The sequence below is a fragment of the Homo sapiens genome, chromosome 15, assembly GCF_000001405.40.
Source record: "Homo sapiens chromosome 15, GRCh38.p14 Primary Assembly".
Lineage (NCBI taxonomy): Eukaryota > Metazoa > Chordata > Mammalia > Primates > Hominidae > Homo > Homo sapiens.
Window position 1 is genome coordinate 71165646 of NC_000015.10, and position 23978 is coordinate 71189623.

General features: G+C 40.4%; 1 protein-coding gene and 1 long non-coding RNA gene across 7 annotated transcripts in view; one reads left to right on the top strand and one right to left on the bottom strand.

The window, feature by feature from the left end:
• Positions 1 to 23978, top strand: part of THSD4 (thrombospondin type 1 domain containing 4) — a 686490-nt gene that overhangs the window by 68752 nt on the left and 593760 nt on the right. The gene's annotated exons all lie outside the window — the stretch shown is intronic.
• THSD4-AS1 (THSD4 antisense RNA 1) lies at positions 1167 to 23414 on the bottom strand. Of its 4 annotated transcripts, NR_120348.1 has the most exons (4): positions 23171 to 23414; positions 19780 to 19861; positions 17461 to 17571; positions 1167 to 1544 (listed from the first exon to the last, which is right to left on the bottom strand). It is a non-coding gene; the product is annotated as a THSD4 antisense RNA 1 (long non-coding RNA). The 4 variants fall into 4 exon arrangements; NR_120351.1 differs by lacking the exon at positions 17461 to 17571; NR_120350.1 differs by lacking the exon at positions 17461 to 17571 and having other exon boundaries at positions 19760 to 19861.

Below are 23978 nucleotides of genomic sequence, written 5' to 3' on the forward strand. Positions count from 1 at the left end.
TGTACAGATTTTTCAACTGTAATCTTCATCTGTGGTGTCTGCAATTTTCTCAGTGGCCTAGGCTGCAGGAATTTGTGATGCAGTGGTGCAGGTTTGCTAGTGGTGGGGGTGCCAGGTTGGTTGTCAGGCTAAGCATGTGTGGGTGTGGTGGGCCAGCAGGCTGTTTGGTGGGCTTTCTAGGAAGGTGGAGCCACTGCTGCACTGGCTGTTGAGTTGTGGTGTGGTGTGCTGTGTGGCTGCATGGGGCTCTTTCTGAGCCACCTCCAGTCAGGCTGTCAGGCCAAGGGTGTGTGTGGGGTGCCTGAGTGGTTATGTGGTGCTCTCTCTGTAGGGAGAGGGAGGTGAGACATCTCTAGGCCAGCTATTGAACCAGAGGTGGCTGGGCAGCTGTGCCAGGATCTCACCAGTGGGGTAGAGCCACTTTCAGGCTGGCTGTTATGATGGGTATGAGAGCATATGAGCTGGGTGACTTCACAGGGTTTCCCCACTGTGAAGTTTGCTTATTTCCCTAGGGAATAGGGTACCTGATGAATTCAGATGTTGTGGTCTTGGTTGTTCCTTTAGGCCTAGGCTCTGGGCAGCTGGCGTATTGGTGCTGTAGACTCCCTTATGAATGTACTGGAATGACGGTGGAACCTCAGAGATGGAGGGGATTGGTGGCTACTGACCCCCAACACAAGATGCACTCCAGCAATGGGTCAAGTTTCAAGATGGCACCATGCTATAGCAGCTTAGGTCATGGAGGTTGGAATGCTAAAGTGTTTCCTGTTCTGGGGCAATGCAGCCACATGAACTCCCAGTAACTGTCCACACTGGTTTCTGGTCCTGTGAGGACTGGGAGACCCTTTTATAGCAATGACTGTTCCTGTCTATGGAGGTGATGGGGCAAAGGATTCCAGCTTACTTTTTCCCCGTGAGAAGAAGTTTCCCTGGCTCTGAGCTGGTCCTGGTGGGGGATACCATGTGGCAGAGGGAGGATATCTCACTTCCCTCTCTGTGGTGCTATCCTGGGCTTCCATGCTCTATAGAAATTTTGTTGCTCCCCCGGTGCTTTCCAGTGTACTTCATCAGTAACTCCAGTCAAAGTGTAGTTTATTTATTGTTTTGGTACCTTTTTGTGTCAGGCAACTCTAGTTGGCCATCATGCTGACATCACTCTATAAGTTACTCTAGAATGTTTAATTTAAAAACTGAGCAAAGTGTATCACATCTTGGGATATGGTACCTCCTTGTCAAAGCATTATTAAGAACTTTGTAGTAGAAAGATAGATTAAACTTTTTCTCAGAATCATGTGGAGATTACTTTATATAGAGAACATATATTTTAGAATAGTTTTTCAATATAATAAACGTGTATTTATTATCTTGGCCACCAAGATCATTGCCATTCACTCAAGACAAGAAAGGATTCTCTGGTTTCCTTGGTGGTGAGTTTCTTTTTGATGTTTTATCAGAGCTTTGTGGAACTGTGGTTGTCATCCTGGTTATGTGCTCAAAAACTTGGCAGCAGAAGCAGTACTAGTAGTAGTAACATCCATTTATTCCTGCAAGATGTGAAATGAGGAAATGCTTATTAAAACAGGAGTCAACATGTTTTTAAATAAAGGGTTGTTGAGAATATTTTAGGCTTTCTGTGCTATAAAGTCTGTCACAATTCTTCAACTCTGCTTTTGTAGCACAAAGCCAGCCATAGACAATGTGTAAATGAATAAGCATGGCTGTGTTCCAATAAAACTTTATTTACAAAAACAGGTAGTGAGCTAGATTTGGCCCATGGGGCACAGTTTGCCAACTCTTGCTCTAAAGTCAGGATAGAAAGGTGTTAACTGCAAGTATACGTGTTTTGGAATTTGAAGTGGGAAATTTTCTGCTCCTGGGACTTTAAGAAACACAGAAGATTTTGGGTAAAAGTATTTTTTTCATCAAGGCATAAGACTTACCATTGTGATCAAATTGTTTTCATTACTTAGATAATCATAATTCAATTTTTGCTGACCCACTGTTTTGTGGCAAAATCTACTCACAATCTTTAGCAGACAGCTGGGGCATAAAGAATTAGAAAACCATTTATGGTAAATTCTTAAGGGACAACATTATTAATTTGTGTACACTGTAGTTTAGTATGTATATGAAAACTGCTACTAAAAGACATCACTTTTTTTCTCAATACAATGGTGTGTCCAACTTTAGCATATGGAAGCATTTCTACAGTGTAAGTTATTCTGAGGAAAAGACATAATTTGTAAATGCTGTCAAGTAAACTATGCATTTCCAAATGCTGCTCAGGTGACTTGATACATCTCTGCAAAAACTGTCCCACAACAGTGCAGGAAAAGAGGACGCTGGTACAGAGTTTAAGTAGCTCTTTCCAGATGTTTCTGCCCAGAAGTCGTCCTCATGTTCCTGCAATATGAACAGTATCACAAAGAACTATTCAACTTCCATTCTTGGCAATTAATTAAAGATACTTGGCAAATGACTACATTTTTAAAACTTTCTGTGGCTTCATTTGTGGATAAAGTGAAACCAAGAGTAGGAAAAAACTTGAGCAAGACTTTAATAAAACAATAAGTTATTAGTAAGGGAAAATATGTCGATTGTAGAATGCTTTAAAATTAATGAACTATTCTACTGTCTGCCTAGCAGACACTCCATGAACAAGTTTTTTTACAAGTCATAATGTGTATGGTCAACATACTGTATGCAGGAAAGATTGTGAGACATTGTATTTTTTAGCTCCACATATGAAAAATCACACATACACTTTAATCACAACTGCTCAAACTTTTTTTTTGTTAACTTTTTAAATTAAAAATATTTATGTTTATTATAGAGAATTTAGAAACAATGAAAGCTACAGGAACTAAAAACTCATTGTCACGGCCACCAGCCAAGGGGAACTGCTTTTTTAACCTGTTATTTATAGAAACTCTAAGAGAACAGAGATACTGCAGAATGAAGTAAGGGTGAGGTAAAATATTTGTGTTGCTAACTGATAAGCAGGTCACGATGCAAACAGCAGAGGACCTCGTGATGGGTTACAGGCACTATTAATGCGGTAGGATGTGCAACCAGTGACTTCAAATTGCCCCTTGACAATGTCTTGCAGTTGGATATTGAACAGAAAGCCTATAGAAGGGGAAAAAAATTTTAGGCTACATAAAACTCAAATTATTGCTGCTATATTCAATAAGAAGAAAGGAAAAAACAGTAATGCTCCTAGAGGAAAACATTTGAGAATAGCTTCGTAATTTGATGTAGGCAAAGGTTTCTTAAACAAGACACAAAAATCAGTAACCATAAAATTGTACTACATTCGAGTCGAGGTTGTTTAAAAATTGAAACACATCATAAAAACAGTGAAAAGATACGCCATGGACAGGGTAAAGATGTTTACAACAATATATTTGGTAAAAGATTTTTATTCAGAATATATAAAGAACCCCTTCAGATCATTAAGAAAAAGTTAAGCCAGTCAATTTAAATGGCTTAAACAGACAGTTCATGTGAGATGATATCCAAATGGCTGATAAGCATATGAAAAGGTAGTCAATCAAAATCATTAGTCCTTAGGTAACTACAAATTAAAATCTCAGTGTGACACTACCAGAATGGCTAAAATAAAAAACACTACCAGTGTTGGTGAGGATAGGAAGCAATTGGAACTTTCATACACTGCTGGTGGGAGTTTAAATGGTAAACCACTTTGAAAAACTGTCAGTGTATCTTAAAGCTAAACATTGCCCATGCTATGATCTGGCTACTGTATTCCTAGGTATTTACCCAAGATAAATATGGACATATATCCACCAAAACACATGGATAACAATATTCAGAGTAGTTTCCTTTACAATAAAGCTAAACTGGAAATAACCCAAAAGTCCATCAATAAGAGAATGGAGAAATACATTATAGTGTGTTTATACAAGAGAACACCAAACAACAATAAGGAAAAAATAACTTGTTTCTAGCCAAGATGGAGCACCAGGGATTGGATTTACCTTCTCACTTGAAACAACCAAAAATACCCAGATAACATATATGAAATAATGTTTTTCAAAACCTTGGACTTTAGACAACAAAAGATAGTTATCACTCAGAGATAGAAAATAAATGAATTGAGTCATAAAATGTCCCCAGCTTACTGCCTTGAGAGTTTCCTGGTCTTGGTGCAGGGAGGGGTATGCTAGGCAGAACCTGTTAGACATCTTGAGTTAAGGAGATAGACTTAAGAGTCCAGCAAGATGGCCAGGCATGGTGGCTCAAGCCTGTAATCCCAGCATTTTGGAAGGCCAAGGCAGGCGGATCACCTGAGGTCAGGAGTTCAAGACCAGACTGGCCAACATGGTGAAACCCCATCTCTACCAAAAGTACAAACGTTAGCCAGGCATGATGGTGAGTGCCTGTAATCCCAGCTACTCGGGAAGCTGAAGCGGGAGAATCTCTTGAACCCAGGAGGCGGAAGTTGCAGTGAGCCGAGATCTCACTGGGCAACAGAGTGAGACTTTGTCTTGGAAAAAAGAAAAAGAGTCCAGCAAGACCAAGTGATGATGGTCTGCAGGATAGAGTACCAGAGAGGAGAGAACTACACAGACAGAAGACTGTGGAGCTCTGCAGGAGATCCTCCATAAGGATGCAGCATACTACTGATCAGCACACACATTTGAGGAAACAATCTGAGGTTGAGGAAAGAATCATCCAAGAGAATGAAAAAGAACAGTGCCCAGCATTCATTCAGGACCAAGAACAGTGACTGTTCCCACTAGGCATACTTTAAAAACTCATAATCCAGGAGGCATTGAATAGAATACTCAGGAAGCTCTCACCTCAGTATTGGGGGAATAGTTAACCCTAGACTGTGTCCTGCTCTGGATCTAACAAATTAAAACAGCAGTAATGAAATGATTAATCTGTTTCTAAATAACTTAACTGTATCCTAGCATAAAGTATGGGAATATAAAAATATCCAGCACCCAACAAGGTAAAATTCAAGATGTCTAGCATTTAGTCAAAGGTTACCAGGCTTGCACAGAAGCAGAAAAATATTAACATTATTCCCCATAATGAGGAGAATAATCACTGAATTGAAAGCAATTCAGAACTGGCACATATTTTAGAATATGAAAACAAAGATATTAAAAATTACTAAAACCATATTCCATATATTCATAAAGTTAAGTAGAGGCATGGAAGATATTAAAAAGACACCCAAATCTAACTTCTTGAGATGAAAATGACAAGATCTGAGATGAAAAATATACTGGATGGGATTAATGGCAGATTAGACATTGCAGAAGAAAAAAACAAGTGAACTTGAAGATATTGCAGTAGAAACTCTCCAAAGTGAAATATAAAAAGGAAAAATAGAATTTAAAAAAGATGAACAGAGCATCAGTGAACTCTGAGACAACTTCAGGTTGGCTAATACATGGGCAATTAGAGTACCAAAAGGAGAAGAGATAGGGAGACAGAAAAAATATTTGAAGAAATAATAGAAAAGTTTCCAAACTTGATGAAAACTATGAATCCAAGAATGTCAATGAACTCCAAGCACTAGAAGCATGAAAAAAAATGGCATCAAGTCACATCATAATCAAATTGCTCAAGACCACTGGTACAGAAAAAAATTTAAAAAGCCCTTAGAAAAAATAGACATATTACATATATGGGAACAAAGTTAAGAATGACAGTAGATTCTCTGCCTCCTGTCATTCATGCAAGTGAAGCAACATCTTTAAAGTACTAAAAGAATAAAATTGTTAACCTAAAATTTCATACCCAGCAAAAATATCTTTTAAAAATGAAGGTAAAATAAAGACATTTTCAGACATACAAATGCTACACTACACCTGCCCCATAAGAATTGTTGAAGGAAGTTCTTTAGGCAGAAGGAAGATATCAGGTGGAAATATGGATCTTCTCAAAGGAATGACTGCACCAGAAATGATAGCTACATAGGTAACTATATTTTAAAAGTTTCTCCTAAATTAAGCATCTTTTAAAGATTGACTCTTTAAATACAAATAATAATCATCTGTTGTAGGGTTTATAATATGTGTATAAGTAAATTATGTATGACAGTAATAGTATAAATGCCAGAAAAGGATAAATTAAGGAGGTGAAAAACTTGTCCAATGAAAACTACAAAGCATTGCTGAAAGAAATTAAAGAAGTCATAAATAAGTATAAAGACATGCCATGTTCATGAATTGGAAGACGATCATAAAAGGAAGTATGATATTATAAGGTTCTTTTTATAATGCATGTAAAATGGTATCACGTTACTTGAAGGTATACTGTGGTAAGTTAAAGATGTAAGTTATAAACCTCAAAGAAGCCATCAAAGTGACAAAATGAAGCATTTTAGCTTATATGCCAAAAATGAAATAAAATGGAATCCTAAAAATATTCAAATATCGCCTGTAATCCCAGCACTTTGGGAGTCTGAGGTGGGTGGATCACCTGAGGTCAGGAGTTCGAGACCAGCCTGGCCAACATAGCAAAACCCGTCTCTATTAAAAATATGAAAATTAGCTGGGTGTGGTGGCACGCGCCTGTAATCCCAGCTACTTAGTAGGCTGAGGCAGGGGAATTGCTTGAACCTGGGAGGCAGAGGTTGCAGTGAGCCGAGATCATGCCACTGCACTCCAGCCTGGGTGACAGAGTGAAACTCTGTCTCAAAAAAAAATAATTATAAATTCAAATAAATGGATAAATGTATGATGTTTATGGTTCAAGAAACTCAATATTGTTAAGATAACCATTCTCTTCAAATTGACCTATAGATTTAACACAATTCCAATAAAATTCTTAGCAGACTTTTAATATAAATTGACAAACTGATGATTAAAAATTCTTATGAAAATGTAGAAGCCCTAAAATAGCCAAAACAAATTTCAGAAAGAAGAAGAAAATTGCAAGACTTGTACTCCATAATATTTATATTATTAGCTCCAGTAATCAAGATAGCATGTTATTGGTGTAAAGATAGGCAAATAGATAATGGAACAGAATACAGCATGAAAATAGACCTATACATATATATATATATATATATATATATATATATATATATATATATATATATATGTGGACAATTGATTTTTTATAAAGGAGAAAGGTAGTCTTTTTAACAAATAATGCTGAAACAATTGGATATCTATGTGCAAAAACATGAACTTCAATCTGTATCTTGTACAATATACGAAAACTAACTCAGACTCAACAATCTAAGAATAGAAGGAAATTACCCCAACATAATAAAGACCATATAAGAAAAACCTACGGTGAACATCATACTCAATGGTGAAAGCAAAAACAATACAAGGATGCCCACTTTTGCCACTTCTATTTAACACAGCACTGGAAGTTCTAGGAGAAGCAATTAGGCAAGAAAAAGAAATAAAAGGCTTCCAAATTGGAAATGAAGAAGGAATACTTTTTCTCTTCACAGATGATATGATCTTGTATGTTAAACCCTAAAATATCTGTAAAAAGATTGTTAGAACTAATAAATGAATTCACCAAAGTAGCAGGATACAAGGTCAACATGCAAAAATCAATTGCATTTCTATACACTGAAAAGATCAATCTGAAAAGCAAATAAAGTAAACAATTCTATTTACAGTAGCATTGAAAAAAATAAAGAACTTGGTGATTAACTTAATCAAGGAGGTGAAAACTTGTATAATGAAAACTAGAAAGCATTGCTGAAAGAAATTAAAGAAGACATAAATAAGTATAAAGATATCCCATGTTCATGAATTGGAAAACTTAATATTGTTAAAATATCAGTACTATGCAAAGCAACCTATGGATTCAATGCAATTCCTATAAAAATCCCAGTTGTTATTGGTGTAAAGGTAGGCAAATAGATAATGGAATAGAATAGAGCATAAAAATAGACCTACACACACACACACATATATATATATATATATATACATTTTTATATATATATGGACAATTGATTTTTATACATATATATGGACAATTTTCTATTTCAAAGAAATAGAAAAAAGCCATTCTGAAATTTATATGGAGTCTCAAAGGACCCCAAATAGTCAAGATAATCTTGAAAAAATAACAAAGTTGGAGGACTCATACTTTCTGATTTCAAAACTTACTGCAGAGCTATAGTAACCAAAACAGTGTGACACTGACAGCCATGGAGACCAATGGAATAGAATAGAGAGCCCAGAATTAAACCCTAGAATATATGATCAAATGATTTTTGACAATGGTGCCAAGACCATTCGATGGGAAAAGATGTCGTGTATAAAAATTAACTCAAAATGGATGAAACATCTAAATGTAAAACCTGGAACTATAAAACTCTTAGAAGAAAATGTAGAGCAAAATCTTCATGATATTAGTTTTGGCAGTGATTTCTTGGATATGACACCAAAGGCACCAGGAACAAAAGAAAAATAGCCAACTGGACTTCATGAAAATTAAAATTTTGTGCCTTAAAAAGACACTATCGAGCAGAAATAGGAGCCAAGATGGCCGAATAGGAACAGCTCCGGTCTACAGCTCCCAGCGTGAGCGACGCAGAAGACGGGTGATTTCTGCATTTCCATCTGAGGTACCGGGTTCATCTCACTAGGGAGTGCCAGACAGTGGGCGCAGGCCAGTGTGTGCGCGCGCCGAAGCAGGGCGAGGCATTGCCTCACCTGGGAAGCGCAAGGGGTCAGGGAGTTCCCTTTCCGAGTCAAAGAAAGGGGTGATGGACGCACCTGGAAAATCGGGTCACTCCCACCCGAATATTGCGCTTTTCAGACCGGCTTAAGAAACGGCGCACCACGAGACTATATCCCACACCTGGCTCAGAGGGTCCTACGCCCACGGAATCTCGCTGATTGCTAGCACAGCAGTCTGAGATCAAACTGCAAGGCGGCAACGAGGCTGGGGGGAGGGGCGCCCGCCATTGCCCAGGCTTGCTTAGGTAAACAAAGCAGCCCGGAAGCTCGAACTGGGTGGAGCCCACCACAGCTCAAGGAGGCCTGCCTGCCTCTGTAGGCTCCACCTCTGGGGGCAGGGCACAGACAAACAAAAAGACAGCAGTAACCTCTGCAGACTTAAGTGTCCCTGTCTGACAGCTTTGAAGAGAGCAGGGGTTCTCCCAGCACGCAGCTGGAGATCTGAGAACGTGCAGACTGCCTCCTCAAGTGGGTCCCTGACCCCTGACCCCGAGCAGCCTAACTGGGAGGCACCCCCCAGCAGGGGCACACTGACACCTCACAAGGCAGGGTATTCCAACAGACCTGCAGCTGAGGGTCCTGTTTGTTAGAAGGAAAACTAACAAACAGAAAGGACATCCACACCGAAAACCCATCTGTACATCACCATCATCAAAGACAAAAAGTAGATAAAACCACAAAGATGGGGAAAAAACAGAACAGAAAAACTGGAAACTCTAAAACGCAGAGCGCCTCTCCTCCTCCAAAGGAACGCAGTTCCTCACCAGCAACAGAACAAAGCTGGATGGAGAATGATTTTGACGAGCTGAGAGAAGAAGGCTTCAGACAATCAAATTACTCTGAGCTACGGGAGGACATTCAAACCAAAGGCAAAGAAGTTGAAAACTTTGAAAAAAATTTAGAAGAATGTATAACTAGAATAACCAATACAGAGAAGTGCTTAAAGGAGCTGATGGAGCTGAAAACCAAGGCTCGAGAACTACGTGAAGAATGCAGAAGCCTCAGGAGCCGATGCGATCAACTGGAAGAAAGGGTATCAGCAATGGAAGATGAAATGAATGAAATGAAGCGAGAAGGGAAGTTTAGAGAAAAAAGAATAAAAAGAAATGAGCAAAGCCTCCAAGAAATATGGGACTATGTGAAAAGACCAAATCTACGTCTGATTGGTGTACCTGAAAGTGATGTGGAGAATGGAACCAAGTTGGAAAACACTCTGCAGGATATTATCCAGGAGAACTTCCCCAATCTAGCAAGGCAGGCCAACGTTCAGATTCAGGAAATACAGAGAACGCCACAAAGATACTCCTCGAGAAGAGCAACTCCAAGACACATAATTGTCAGATTCACCAAAGTTGAAATGAAGGAAAAAATGTTAAGGGCAGCCAGAGAGAAAGGTCGGGTTACCCTCAAAGGGAAGCCCATCAGACTAACAGTGGATCTCTCGGCAGAAACCCTACAAGCCAGAAGAGAGTGGGGGCCAATATTCAACATTCTTAAAGAAAAGAATTTTCAACCCAGAATTTCATATCCAGCCAAACTAAGCTTCATAAGTGAAGGAGAAATAAAATCCTTTACAGACAAGCAAATGCTGAGAGATTTTGTCACCACCAGGCCTGCCCTAAAAGAGCTCCTGAAGGAAGCGCTAAACATGGAAAGGAACAACCGGTACCAGCCGCTGCAAAATCATGCCAAAATGTAAAGACCATCGAGACTAGGAAGAAACTGCATCAACTAATGAGCAAAATCACCAGCTAACATCATAATGACAGGATCAAATTCACACATAACAGTATTAACTTTAAATATAAATGGACTACATTCTGCAATTAAAAGACACAGACTGGCAAGTTGGATAAAGAGTCAAGACCCATCAGTGTGCTGTATTCAGGAAACCCATCTCACGTGCAGAGACACACATAGGCTCAAAATAAAAGGATGGAGGAAGATCTACCAAGCCAATGGAAAACAAAAAAAGGCAGGGGTTGCAATCCTAGTCTCTGATAAAACAGACTTTAAACCAACAAAGATCAAAAGAGACAAAGAAGGCCATTACATAATGGTAAAGGGATCAATTCAACAAGAGGAGCTAACTATCCTAAATATTTATGCACCCAATACAGGAGCACCCAGATTCATAAAGCAAGTCCTGAGTGACCTACAAAGAGACTTAGACTCCCACACATTAATAATGGGAGACTTTAACACCCCACTGTCAACATTAGACAGATCAACGAGACAGAAAGTCAACAAGGATACCCAGGAATTGAACTCAGCTCTGCACCAAGCAGACCTAATAGACATCTACAGAACTCTCCACCCCAAATCAACAGAATATACATTTTTTTCAGCACCACACCACACCTATTCCAAAATTGACCACATAGTTGGAAGTAAAGCTCTCCTCAGCAAATGTAAAAGAACAGAAATTATAACAAACTATCTCTCAGACCACAGTGCAATCAAACTAGAACTCAGGATTAAGAATCTCACTCAAAGCCGCTCAACTACATGGAAACTGAACAACCTGCTCCTGAATGACTACTGGGTACATAACGAAATGAAGGCAGAAATAAAGATGTTCTTTGAAACCAACGAGAACAAAGACACCACATACCAGAATCGCTGGGACACATTCAAAGCAGTGTGTAGAGGGAAATTTATAGCACTAAATGCCTACAAGAGAAAGCAGGAAAGATCCAAAATTGACACCCTAACATCACAATTAAAAGAACTAGAAAAGCAAGAGCAAACACATTCAAAAGCTAGCAGAAGGCAAGAAATAACTAAAATCAGAGCAGAACTGAAGGAAATAGAGACACAAAAAACCCTTCAAAAAATCAATGAATCCAGGAGCTGGTTTTTTGAAAGGATCAACAAAATTGATAGACCACTAGCAAGACTAATAAAGAAAAAAAGAGAGAAGAATCAAATAGACACAATAAAAAATGATAAAGGGGATATCACCACCGATCCCACAGAAATACAAACTACCATCAGAGAATACTACAAACACCTCTACGCAAATAAACTAGAAAATCTAGAAGAAATGGATACATTCCTCGACACATACACTCTCCCAAGAATAAACCAGGAAGAAGTTGAATCTCTGAATAGACCAATAACAGGCTCTGAAATTGTGGCAATAATCAATAGTTTACCAACCAAAAAGAGTCCAGGACCAGATGGATTCACAGCCGAATTCTACCAGAGGTACAAGGAGGAACTGGTACCATTCCTTCTGAAACTATTCCAATCAATAGAAAAAGAGGGAATCCTCCCTAACTCATTTTATGAGGCCAGCATCATTCTGATACCAAAGCCGGGCAGAGACACAACCAAAAAAGAGAATTTTAGACCAATATCCTTGATGAACATTGATGCAAAAATCCTCAATAAAATACTGGCAAACCGAATCCAGCAGCACATCAAAAAGCTTATCCACCATGATCAAGTGGGCTTCATCCCTGGGATGCAAGGCTGGTTCAATATACGCAAATCAATAAACATAATCCAGCCTATAAACAGAACCAAAGACAAAAACCACATGATTATCTCAATAGATGCAGAAAAAGCCTTTGACAAAATTCAACAACCCTCCATGCTAAAAACTCTCAATAAATTAGGTATTGATGGGACGTATTTCAAAATAATAAGAGCTATCTATGACAAACCCACAGCCAATATCATACTGAATGGGCAAAAACTGGAAGCATTCCCTTTGAAAACTGGCACAAGACAGGGATGCCCTCTCTCACTGCTCCTATTCAACATAGTGTTGGAAGTTCTGGCCAGGGCAATCAGGCAGGAGAAGGAAATAAAGGGTATTCAATTAGGAAAAGAGGAAGTCAAATTGTCCCTGTTTGCAGACGACATGATTGTTTATCTAGAAAACCCCATCGTCTCAGCCCAAAATCTCCTTAAGCTGATAAGCAACTTCAGCAAAGTCTCAGGATACAAAATCAATGTACAAAAATCACAAGCATTCTTATACACCAACAACAGACAAACAGAGAGCCAAATCATGAGTGAACTCCCATTCACAATTGCTTCAAAGAGAATAAAATACCTAGGAATCCAACTTACAAGGGATGTGAAGGACCTCTTCAAGGAGAACTACAAACCACTGCTCAAGGAAATAAAAGAGGACACAAACAAATGGAAGAACATTCCATGCTCATGGATAGGAAGAATCAATATCGTGAAAATGGCCATACTGCCCAAGGTAATTTACAGATTCAATGCCATCCCCATCAAGCTACCAATGACTTTCTTCACAGAATTGGAAAAAACTACTTTAAAGTTCATATGGAACCAAAAAAGAGCCCGCATCGCCAAGTCAATCCTAAGCCAAAAGAACAAAGCTGGAGGCATCACACTACCTGACTTCAAACTATACTACAAGGCTACAGTAACCAAAACAGCATGGTACTGGTACCAAAACAGAGATATAGATCAATGGAACAGAACAGAGCCCTCAGAAATAATGCCGCATATCTACAACTATCTGATCTTTGACAAACCTGAGAAAAACAAGCAATGGGGAAAGGATTCCCTATTTAATAAATGGTGCTGGGAAAACTGGCTAGCCATATGTAGAAAGCTGAAACTGGATCCCTTCCTTCCACCTTATACAAAAATCAATTCAAGATGGATTAAAGATTTAAACGTTAGACCTAAAACCATAAAAACCCTAGAAGAAAACCTAGGCATTACCATTCAGGACATAGGCGTGGGCAAGGACTTCATGTCCAAAACACCAAAAGCAATGGCAACAAAAGCCAAAATTGACAAATGGGATCTAATTAAACTCAAGAGCTTCTGCACAGCAAAAGAAACTACCATCAGAGTGAACAGGCAACCTACAACATGGGAGAAAATTTTCGCAACCTACTCATCTGACAAAGGGCTAATATCCAGAATCTACAATGAACTCAAACAAATTTACAAGAAAAAAACAAACAACCCCATCAAAAAGTGGGCGAAGGACATGAACAGACACTTCTCAAAAGAAGACATTTATGCAGCCAAAAAACACATGAAGAAATGCTCATCATCACTGGCCATCAGAGAAATGCAAATCAAAACCACTATGAGATATCATCTCACACCAGTTAGAATGGCAATCATTAAAAAGTCAGGAAACAACAGGTGCTGGAGAGGATGTGGAGAAATAGGAACACTTTTACACTGTTGGTGGGACTGTAAACTAGTTCAACCATTGTGGAAGTCAGTGTGGCGATTCCTCAGGGATCTAGAACTAGAAATACCATTTGACCCAGCCATCCCATTACTGGGTATACACCCAAAGGACTATAAATCATGCTGCTATAAAGACACATGCACACGTATGTTTATTGCGGCACTATTCACAATAGCAAAGACTTGGAACCAACCCAAATGTCCAACAATGATAGACTGGATTAAGAAAATGTGGCACATATACACCATGGAATACTATGCAGCCATAAAAAATGATGAGTTCATGTCCTTTGTAGGGACATGGATGAAATTGGAAATCATCATTCTCAGTAAACTATCGCAAGAACAAAAAACCAAACACCGCATATTCTCACTCATAGGTGGGAATTGAACAATGAGATCACATGGACACAGGAAGGGGAATATCACACTCTGGGGACTGTGGTGGGGTCGGGGGAGGGGGGAGGGATAGCATTGGGAGATATACCTAATGCTAGATGACGAGTTAGTGGGTGCAGCGCACCAGCATGGCACATGTATACATATGTAACTAACCTGCACAATGTGCACATGTACCCTAAAACTTAGAGTATAATAAAAAAAAAACATTAAAAAAAAAAAAAATAAAAAAAAAAAAAGACACTATCAACAGAGTATAAAGGCAACCCACAGAACGGGAGAAAGTATTTGCAAATCATATATCTGATAAGGGATTGATATCCAGAGTATATAGAGAACTTACAAAATTCAACAACGAAGCAGACAACATGATTCATAAATGGGCAAAGGACTTGAATAGACGTTTCTCCAAAGAAGATATGCAAATGTCCAATAAGCACATTAAAAGATGCTCAATGTTTAGGAGGGATGATAGTAAGGGAAGAAATGAAGGTTACCAACGGCTACAAAAACTTTTGGGTGATGGATATGTGCATTATCTGATTGTGGTGGTGGTTTCAGGGGGGAATACATATGAGAAAACTTATCAAATTGTATGCTTCAAATATGTAATTGATTATGTGTCAATTATACCTCAATGAAACTGTTAAAAATGAACTACTGATATAAGCAACAACCGAAATAATTTCAGAGCCATTATATTGACAATAAGAAGCCAGATGTAAAAGTATGTACAGTATCATTCCATGTATATTTAGTTCAAGTATAGACAAAGATAGTTTTTGATGAAAATAAAATCAGAATAGTGGATACCAACAGGGGGTGAGGGTGGCTATTCAATAGTGAGGGGCATGAGGGAACCTTCCAGGGTGTTGGAAATATTCTAAGTCTTGAGCAGGGTTGGGATTACATGGATCTTAAAAGTATAAGAATTCATACATTTACAGTGAGCATACTTGGTGTACTTTATGTATGTTATACCTCAATTAAAAAAAAAGAGGAGAAGGAAAAGGAGGAAGAAGACAGTGCAGTGAATCAAATACCAGTACTGAAATGGCAATAAAAGTCTCTGGAACAGTGTGAGATTGTCCCTTGGGAGTGACCAGAAAACAAAGATGCTCTTTAAAGAATAGCACAGGGCGTGCACTCATTTGAGGGTGTCCAGCCCAGAACCCCTACAGAATTGGAAGCTGATTCTAAAGCAGACACTGTGTCTCTTCCAGCTGGTGTTTGTCAAGCCTTCCGTTTCTAATGGCATAAATATAACTGACTGCTGCTGAAAAATTAAGAGCATTTCTACTTATGAAAAAAATAAACTGGAGTAAAGAGACCTTATTAAGAAAAGAATTTCAGTGTTCACTAATTTGTGCTGCTCTAAATTTCTTGGATTCAAAGTCAACAGCAGAAAAATCTAATTTGCTTCTATTAAAAATGGAGCAATAAGCTTAAAACTTTGTGTTTGTGTTTGGAAGGCCCTTTACAATGTTGCAGAAGGAGAACATCTTCAGGCTTTTAGTTTGGGAATAATGGTACGGTCCTGGCATCTTAGCCTCTTCTTTGTTTAGGGCCAGGATTCCCCTTCAAATCTCTGACTTCTTTCTGAGTATGCTTGTACCCATGAGTTGAAGGCAAAAAGTGGAACATAGAAGGAACATCTCTGTCAATGCTTATGGACTTCTCCACTGTGGACAGAGTCCCTCTTTGCCATCCCCAGCTTTGGCTGACTTGACTTTAATTGGTATTTCATTCTCCCATCCTAGTGGTATCTACCAACTCTCTCCTGTGGAGGAGTCTTGGTCCTGGCCATCCTAGTGTTAACCTGGTGACAGGAAGACCAGAAAGAAGCCATAATCATTCCTCTTCCATCAAGGCAGATCTGCCTGACTCCTGTTGTTAACTCTTGCCTCCTTCACATCCCTCCATCTCTAGATTGTGAAAGGAGTTGTCCTCTGGTGGGTGATCTCCAAATCAAGAAATGAAATATGAGACCTAAAAAAATCTTGGGTCACAGATTCTGTTTGCAGAAGATGTTGAGAGATCATCAGAGGAAGCGGACACTGGGGATGATGTAAGCTGGAGACACAAGGATAACTGGGGCTACCAGCCCCATTTTTTTATGGCAAAAATGATATACATTGACTTTTGAGTGTTCCTTCTCTATGACACCCTCTGCCCTGATTTCTTAAAGAACTCTTTTTGGTATTTAATCACTACTAAGTTCAAGGGCAAAAAACCTTTGTTTTTCTATATATGAATATTTCTTTTGTTCTAGAGTTTGCCTGCTTCACAGAAACCCACACAATCTGAGTGTATAAATTCCTTCCTTTGGACGTTTGTCATTCCATTTATAGCAATATTGAAAAATAAATACATTATAAATTTGTTATTAGTGTCTGAACAAACTCTACTCTGGTACCCATATCTTAAATGTGGTCTTCTTATAAATAAACCCAAGTTATACAGAGTAGATATTTTTGTGCGCTTCAACCATAATGAAGTGACTTTAGGACTATAAATGGTTCTAAGAAAAAATGAGTATTTTATGTACTTTAATTTTTTTCTCAAAATTTCCATTCCCTCCCACACTTATACACATAAAACCCAAACCATAAAAAGGTGTTTTTTAAATAACTTCTAAATTCCCACTATGTTATGTTTCCAGGCCACATTACAGTTAAAACAAAGTTTTGACAGACAGAATAACTTATCACTTAGGCCACAAATCTTAGTCTTTGGGGAGCAAAATGAATCATAGCACAGTCTTCTGGGCACTGTCTTTGTATGTTAGTGGTCTATCTTTTCCTCCCAGTGATGATGTGATCTGATTTTTGATGATGTAGGAATTTGGCAAGTGGAGCCTTCCCATGTCAGCTGTCTTCCTTCCCTACCAAGGATGCACACTCCTTGGTTAGTTTGGAGAAACAGAGCAGAAGTCAATGTCCTTTTGTTCCTAATTGTATTCTCTTTGTATTTTTTTATACATTTGATGCATGCTTTTGCTTATAGCCATGTCCATTTATTTTTCCCCATTAACTCATCACACATGTATCAAGGGCCTACCATGTGAACCTGGACTCTGTATTAGTCTGTTCTCATGCTACTAATGAAGACATACCGGAGACTGGGTAATTTATAAAGGAAAGAGGTTTGATTGACTCACAGTTCCACATGGTTGGGGAGGCCTCCCAATCATGGCGGAAGGCAAAGCAGGAGCGAAGGAATGCCTTACATGGCGGCAGGCAAGAGAGTGCTTGTGGAGGGGAAATCCCATCTGTAAAACCATCGGATCTTGTGAGACTTAATTCACTACCACGAGAATAGTACGGGGGAAACTGCCCCAGGATTCAGTTACCTCCCACTGAGTCCCTCCCACGACATGTGGGAATTACGAGAGCTACAATTTAGAATGAGATTTGGATGGGGACACAGCGAAACCATAGCAGACTCTGAAGCCAGATTGCCTGGTTAATACCTCAGTTCTACTGCTTAGTAATTCTGGACCTTGGGCAAGGTCCAGTGCCTCAGTTTCCTCATCTGTAAAATGAGGGTGATAATAGTACCTATCACGTAGGTTGTCTTGAGGATTGCATGAGTTACAGATAAGGGGTTTAGAATGTTGTCTGACTCATAGTAAATACTATATAGGTGGTGGTGTTACTGTTGTTGCTGCAACACATGCCAGGCCATGGAATTTACCTTGCTGGCACATAAACGTCCCTAAGACCAAACTCTTTAAAGTTGGGTACCCAAACATGTTTCTTCTCAAGGTACTTTCCTTCTATCTACCCAGGCCTGATTTATCCACATCAGAGTTCCCCAGCCTTGAAACTGTTGGTTTTGTGGACCAGATAATTATTTCTTGTGGGATTGTCCTGTGAGCCGTTAGAATTTTAGCAGCATCCATGGTCTCTACCCAATAGATGCCAGTAAGAAACTCTTGCGTTGTGACAAGCAAAAAATGTCCCAGACTTTGCCGAATGTCCCTCTGGGGACAAAGTTGCCTGCAGTTTTGAGAACCATCTATTTAAACTGGTAAATCCGCCTGCAGAGGTGGCACTATAGCTGCCCCCTGCATTCTAAGGTGGCTGCTGGTTACATGTTGTCATCTTCTCTTTTCCCTGGGCTTGTTTTTGAAGAGTCATGTTAGATCTGCCTCTTAAACCACATGTTTGGAGGCACAGGGTCATTCCTGCTGTTACACTGAGGTTTCTGTAGTAGGAGGGGCTCCTCTTTAAAGTATTCTCCCTCTTCTCAATCTCAGGATTCTCTGGAAAGAGGAAGAAAGCACATAGCCTTCTTCAGACTTCTGATTGTGGCTACCCTTGAAGACAAGCCTCCCAGCCTTTGTAGCTTAAGGAATTTACTGCTTATCACTACGGAAAAGAAGCAGGTGTCCCAAAATCTCACACTTGGGAAATCTTGCTGTGTGAGATGGGACAGCATGGTCCTTGGTCCAGGTTCTCCATGCCCCGTGCCCTTGTTAAGAGTTACACAGATGGTTAACTTTGATGGAATGCTCACCATGTCCCAGACCCTGGGCTAAGCACTTTATAAGGATTGGCCTGTTAACTTTTCACGTTTACCATCTAAAGCAGATATTTTTGTCTCAATTTCATAGATGAGGAGACCTCAGCCTAGAGACATTAAATCCACTGCTACCCAGAGGTAGAAGCATGGATTTAAACCCAGGCATCTGGCTGCAAAGCTGAACCCCAGTGATGCATATCCTCCCATCTGCTCACATGGCACCATCTCCCTTGGTCTCTAGAAAGTGGCAGCTTCCTCCTTGGACTGTCCCCTGTTCTGCTCTAGTTAGATTTAAGCTCCTACATTCCATCCTGGTCATATACAACTGTCTATCATTAGGTTACCCTCACGCTGTCCTGAAATGTGATGGAAGTAGTTTCGTTTTGTTGTTTTGTTTTGTTTTCATGTTAATAATGTCACTGAGACCCACCCGCTCCCCAAACCCTTTGGTTTTTTTTGGCTCTCCCTATGCTGAACACTAAACCCATTTCTTCCCTGCCTTTAGGCTGACCTTGAGCTTCTGCTAACTGATAAGTCTCCTTTTGAGGCGTAAACCGACCTTTTAAATTGCATCAAAACCTTTGAGCTAAGCCCATTGGCCACAGAGTTTACCTTGCTGGCACCAGGTTTCCTAATACCTACATTTCCTAAGACCAACTTCTTTAAAACTGTTAATTCTCTAAGCAAAGAGTGGTCACTTTTAGTACACATTCAGCTCCATCCCAGATACAGGATTCCTTATAAGCCAAATATAAAGATCTTAGGGTGGAAAAAGAGTTATACCTAATTTAAAGGGCCTTTACTGGAATTTTATTGTATTGAATATTGTTCAAAATATGTTGGCCATTGGAAAGTGTGGTGTCTTTTTCCTCCTGTGACATTGGTAGTTTGTGTGAACAGGTTATGATTTGGACCATAAATCCATGCATTACCTGATTTCTCTTTGGCCTACCTTGTTTTCGTTATGCTGAGGCCACATGGATCTGCTTTGATTTTCCAATTTCTATTACAACCGTGGCTTTGAGAGCATTGTCCTTAGAGTGAAAAAAATAACAACAATATCTGTAGAAAGCACTCAGAGAAAATGAAGGCCATAAAATGTCAAAGTACAAATGAATTATGTAGAATCTTTGTTTGAGAATATTTCTGAGTAGCATCGAGAACATTCTGTTCTCTTCCTTTATTTTCTTCCTGTGCCTTTCACAGGGAAGACGTGTCACAGAGATACAGACCCGCAGGAGGAGGGCTTATTGTTTAGTATGGATTTATTCGTTGATTCAGATAATGCAGGAGGTTTATTGAACACCTACTGTGTGCCAGGCACTGGAGATATGCTGGTGATGTACCCACCCCTCCCTGGAAGAGCCCGGAGCCTAATGGGGAAGACAGGAATAAACAAGTGCAGTGCAGTCAGGAGGTGCACTGCAATGGTTAAAGTCTGGCCAGAGTTTGTGATCACAGAGGAGAGTGACAATGATGACAGTGACAACCAACGTTTGTTAAACACTTTCTGTATGTTGGGCACTGTGCTTTCTACACATTATCTATTTTTTAATCCTGGCAACAACTTTGTGTCGTAGAAGCTACTATTGTCCCCTTTATACAGAGGAAGAAATTGAGACTCAAAGACAACATTTCTAAGCTGAATCTTAAAAGCAAAGTAAGAATTATCCAGGGACAATTTTGTAATTAATAAGTAAGATGCAATGGGGGGAAAAGAGGCATTATCCACAGGGAAGAAGGAAGGGGCCATGATTCTGGGATGAGGAATAGCAAATACAAAGACATGGAGGAAATGGATGAGATGACCTTTGTGTGCCAGGGTGGCAGTGGGAGCCAGGGCAGCTGAACCTCATTTACACAACCTGGTCCTGCCCATGGTTTTGGGATTTCAACTGTGTGACCTGTTGTCATGGAAGAGCAACCTGTGTTTCCCAATACCCGACTTCAGCTCTCCTTGCCCCTCAAGTGGCAGAGCCACTTAATTAGATAATGTTCCCATGTGATTGGGGTGACGAATTCAACCTTGAAGTGGTTGTTCCAGTGACTCTGAGATTAAGCTCAACAGCTGGGCGTCTCTGGGAAAGCTGGCAGGGCTGGCAGGATCCACAGGGATGTTGAGTTCTTAGTCTTCCAAGCTGGACTTCAAGGGGCCTTGAGCAAGTCACTTAACTTCTGTAACATTTGCTTTGTCCTGCAGATGGCCTGAAAGCATGTCTGGTTCAAGTCTGTATTCCCAGAACCTACCGCAGAGCCTAGTACATGATAAACTGTAAAATGGGGATACCAGTTATTATTGCAAGGCATTTCAGGTGATTAATGATATTTCCAATGAAAGCCTCTAAACTGCTCAGTGAAAGGTAAGGAATAAATGAATAGTCCCCTTTCTCAAGTTTGCTTAATTAACTAGTCATCATTGATCTAAGTCTTTCTATTTAGAGTTGGCAGATATTCGTTGTACTAGGAAAACCATCTTAGCCTCTGCTTCATGCAATTTTAGTTTGCAGTGGGTGGGTACAAACGAAAGCAAACCAGAGGTAGAAGTTTTTTCCATACATAGGGCATGCCTAGTGGAAAAGCAGCCTTTTCAGCAGAGGAAGGCGGGTCGAATGTGCAGCAGGACAGAAAAACCCAGAGCCCTGATTGTGCCCATTGTCCAATGACTGCTCCTTTGCAAGGGCTGATCCCTGACATTGAATGGCGGGAGGGTGATGACTGCATTGAAATATCTGCTAATAGGCAAGGCCCTCCCTTCCTCCACACCCTTTCTCCTCCGTTAAAGACTTTCTGGAAAACAGAGCAAAAACAATGCGGCAACCCCAAGGGTTGATGAGAATTGCATTCTCCCTGCAGCTTCTATTACTCTTGTGCCTTTGTCCCCGTGGACTTGGTGAAGGGTATAGCTGTCAGGTGCCTCTCTTCCCTGGTGCAGGGTAATCTGGACTGATTGACTTGTCCATTGTCCTAAGGTTGGAGCTAAAAACAAAACAGGAAAAGCTGCTTGATGAGGATGAAGAGGAACTTGGTGGCCAAATGCTGTTGCTTTCCAGGCATTGGACACAAGGCTCATTCTCTCTGAGAAACTTACATCCAAAGGCAGTGACTTTGAAAGGACCGTGGCTGTGGAATTAGAGACAGATGCGTAGCTGACCATGAGTAGATATTAAATTGTATTAAACTATGCAAACCGCATTTCTCATGCAAGGCTTGTTTCTACCTTACATCAGCCCTTGAGCTGCATTTGCATTTCTATAGAGAACGAAATAAAAGCAGCATGTCACTTACTCATTTCTATTCATAACTGTGAGCTGTTATTCTAGCTCTCATCTACCCTACACAGCACTGCCAGATTAATCTTCCTGAACCTCCATCAACAGCGAGTTTGGTTCCCAGCATTTCACTGAATCAACTCATGTTTATAAGGCCCAGGTGCTGAGAGGGATATAAACAGACTTAAGACGGGACTAATTTTAAGGTAACCAGACATCCTGCTTTGTCTGGGACAATCATTGCTTATGCTTGTTATCCTGATACAATTATTAATAGTGCCTCTTTTCACTCTCAAAAGTGATCCTGATTAGACAATGAATTACAAGGTTGCCCTACTCATGTCTGTCAAGTGTTCATAAGATAAAAGGGGTGGAAAGGATGAAGGTAAATACGGTAATTTCAAAACAAGGTAGAGATTGGAGGTAGAGGAGTTAGGTGTTTGCAGAAGGAAGGGAGCCATTGAGGCTGAGAGTGATAGGGGAGGCTCATTTAATTCTAGGACTTGGCCTTGGCTTCGAAGGATGATGATGACTCAAAAAAGGGGAGAGAGGCTGGCGAAGGTGTGGGAGCCGTGAGAGTTAAGGGTGTATTCCATGACTCTCAAAGGGTCACCTAGATGGAGCTTCCTCTGGGAAGAGGAGAGCAGGAGCTGTGAGATGGGAGGGACAGATCTGGAAGGCTTGAAAGGCAGGTGAGGAACTTGTGCTTTACCCTGGGGGCTGAAGGAAGCCATAGAGATACTGGTGTGAAATAGCCAAGGTGAACAGGAGGATTCAACTGGTCCTGGCGTAGGACTGGTCATCTCATCACCAGTGAAGACAGAGGATCTGACCTGCAGAAGCTGCCTCCAAACCATCACACCATGCTGCCTGCCCCTCTCCCATGGCCTGCATGATTTCCTAGGTAAATTAAAAATTTTCACCCATGACAGGGTGAGGCAAATGGATGTTCTGGTGTCTTGGTTTCCAGAAGCCTCCAGCCAAGAGTTGACATGAGCTTGCTGTTTTAACATCAGTTAAAATAATTATTGTAGCATGATTTCTGACAGGAACAAAACAAAAGGATACACTTACAGGAGCAGGCTGTGCAGTCAGGACATGCGCGATCCTTCAGAGGGCCTTTCGGGAGTGAGTGACTCGCCACAGGGTGTTTATCTGTCATCCATATGGGGAATCATCTTCTTCATAATTTTGCTCAACTGGAATCAGAGCTAAGGCTCCATGTGCACAGCGGAGAGATTCATTTTGTCTTGTGCCTGCCTCTTCCTCCTTTCTTCCTTCCTTTTTTCTTTCTTTCAACTAGAATCATTGAGTACTCAACATATGGACACACCCTAAGCCAGCTGCTCTTACTCCGTGGTTGCCACAGCAACCCAGTCTCGTGAGATCAGAGCATCTTCATTTTGCAGATGAAGAAAATAAGCTTCTGAGAGGGTAGGAGAACTGCTGGAGGTGACCAGCTATATGCATTGTTGAGCACCTTGCCAGGGTAATTACATCAAGCAGGTCTCTATGAATAGTTTGATTATTTCTAGTAATGCTGTTGAGGAAATGAAACCAACAGAGAGCAATACTAGGTCAGTGGTATTCAAGCCTGACTGTGCATTAGCACCATTTCAGCACCAGGTGCTTAAAAAATACGTTTCTGGCTGGGTGCGGTGGCTCACGCCTGTAATCCCAGCACTTTGGGAGGCCGAGGCAGGTGGATCACAAGGTCAGGAGATCGAGACCATCCTGGCTAACACAGTGAAACCCCGTCTCTACTAAAAATACAAAAAATTAGCCAGGCGCAGTGGCGGGCACCTGCAGTCCCAGCTACTCGGGAGGCTGAGGCAGGAGAATGGCGTGAACCCGGGAGGTGGAGCTTACAGTGAGCCGAGAT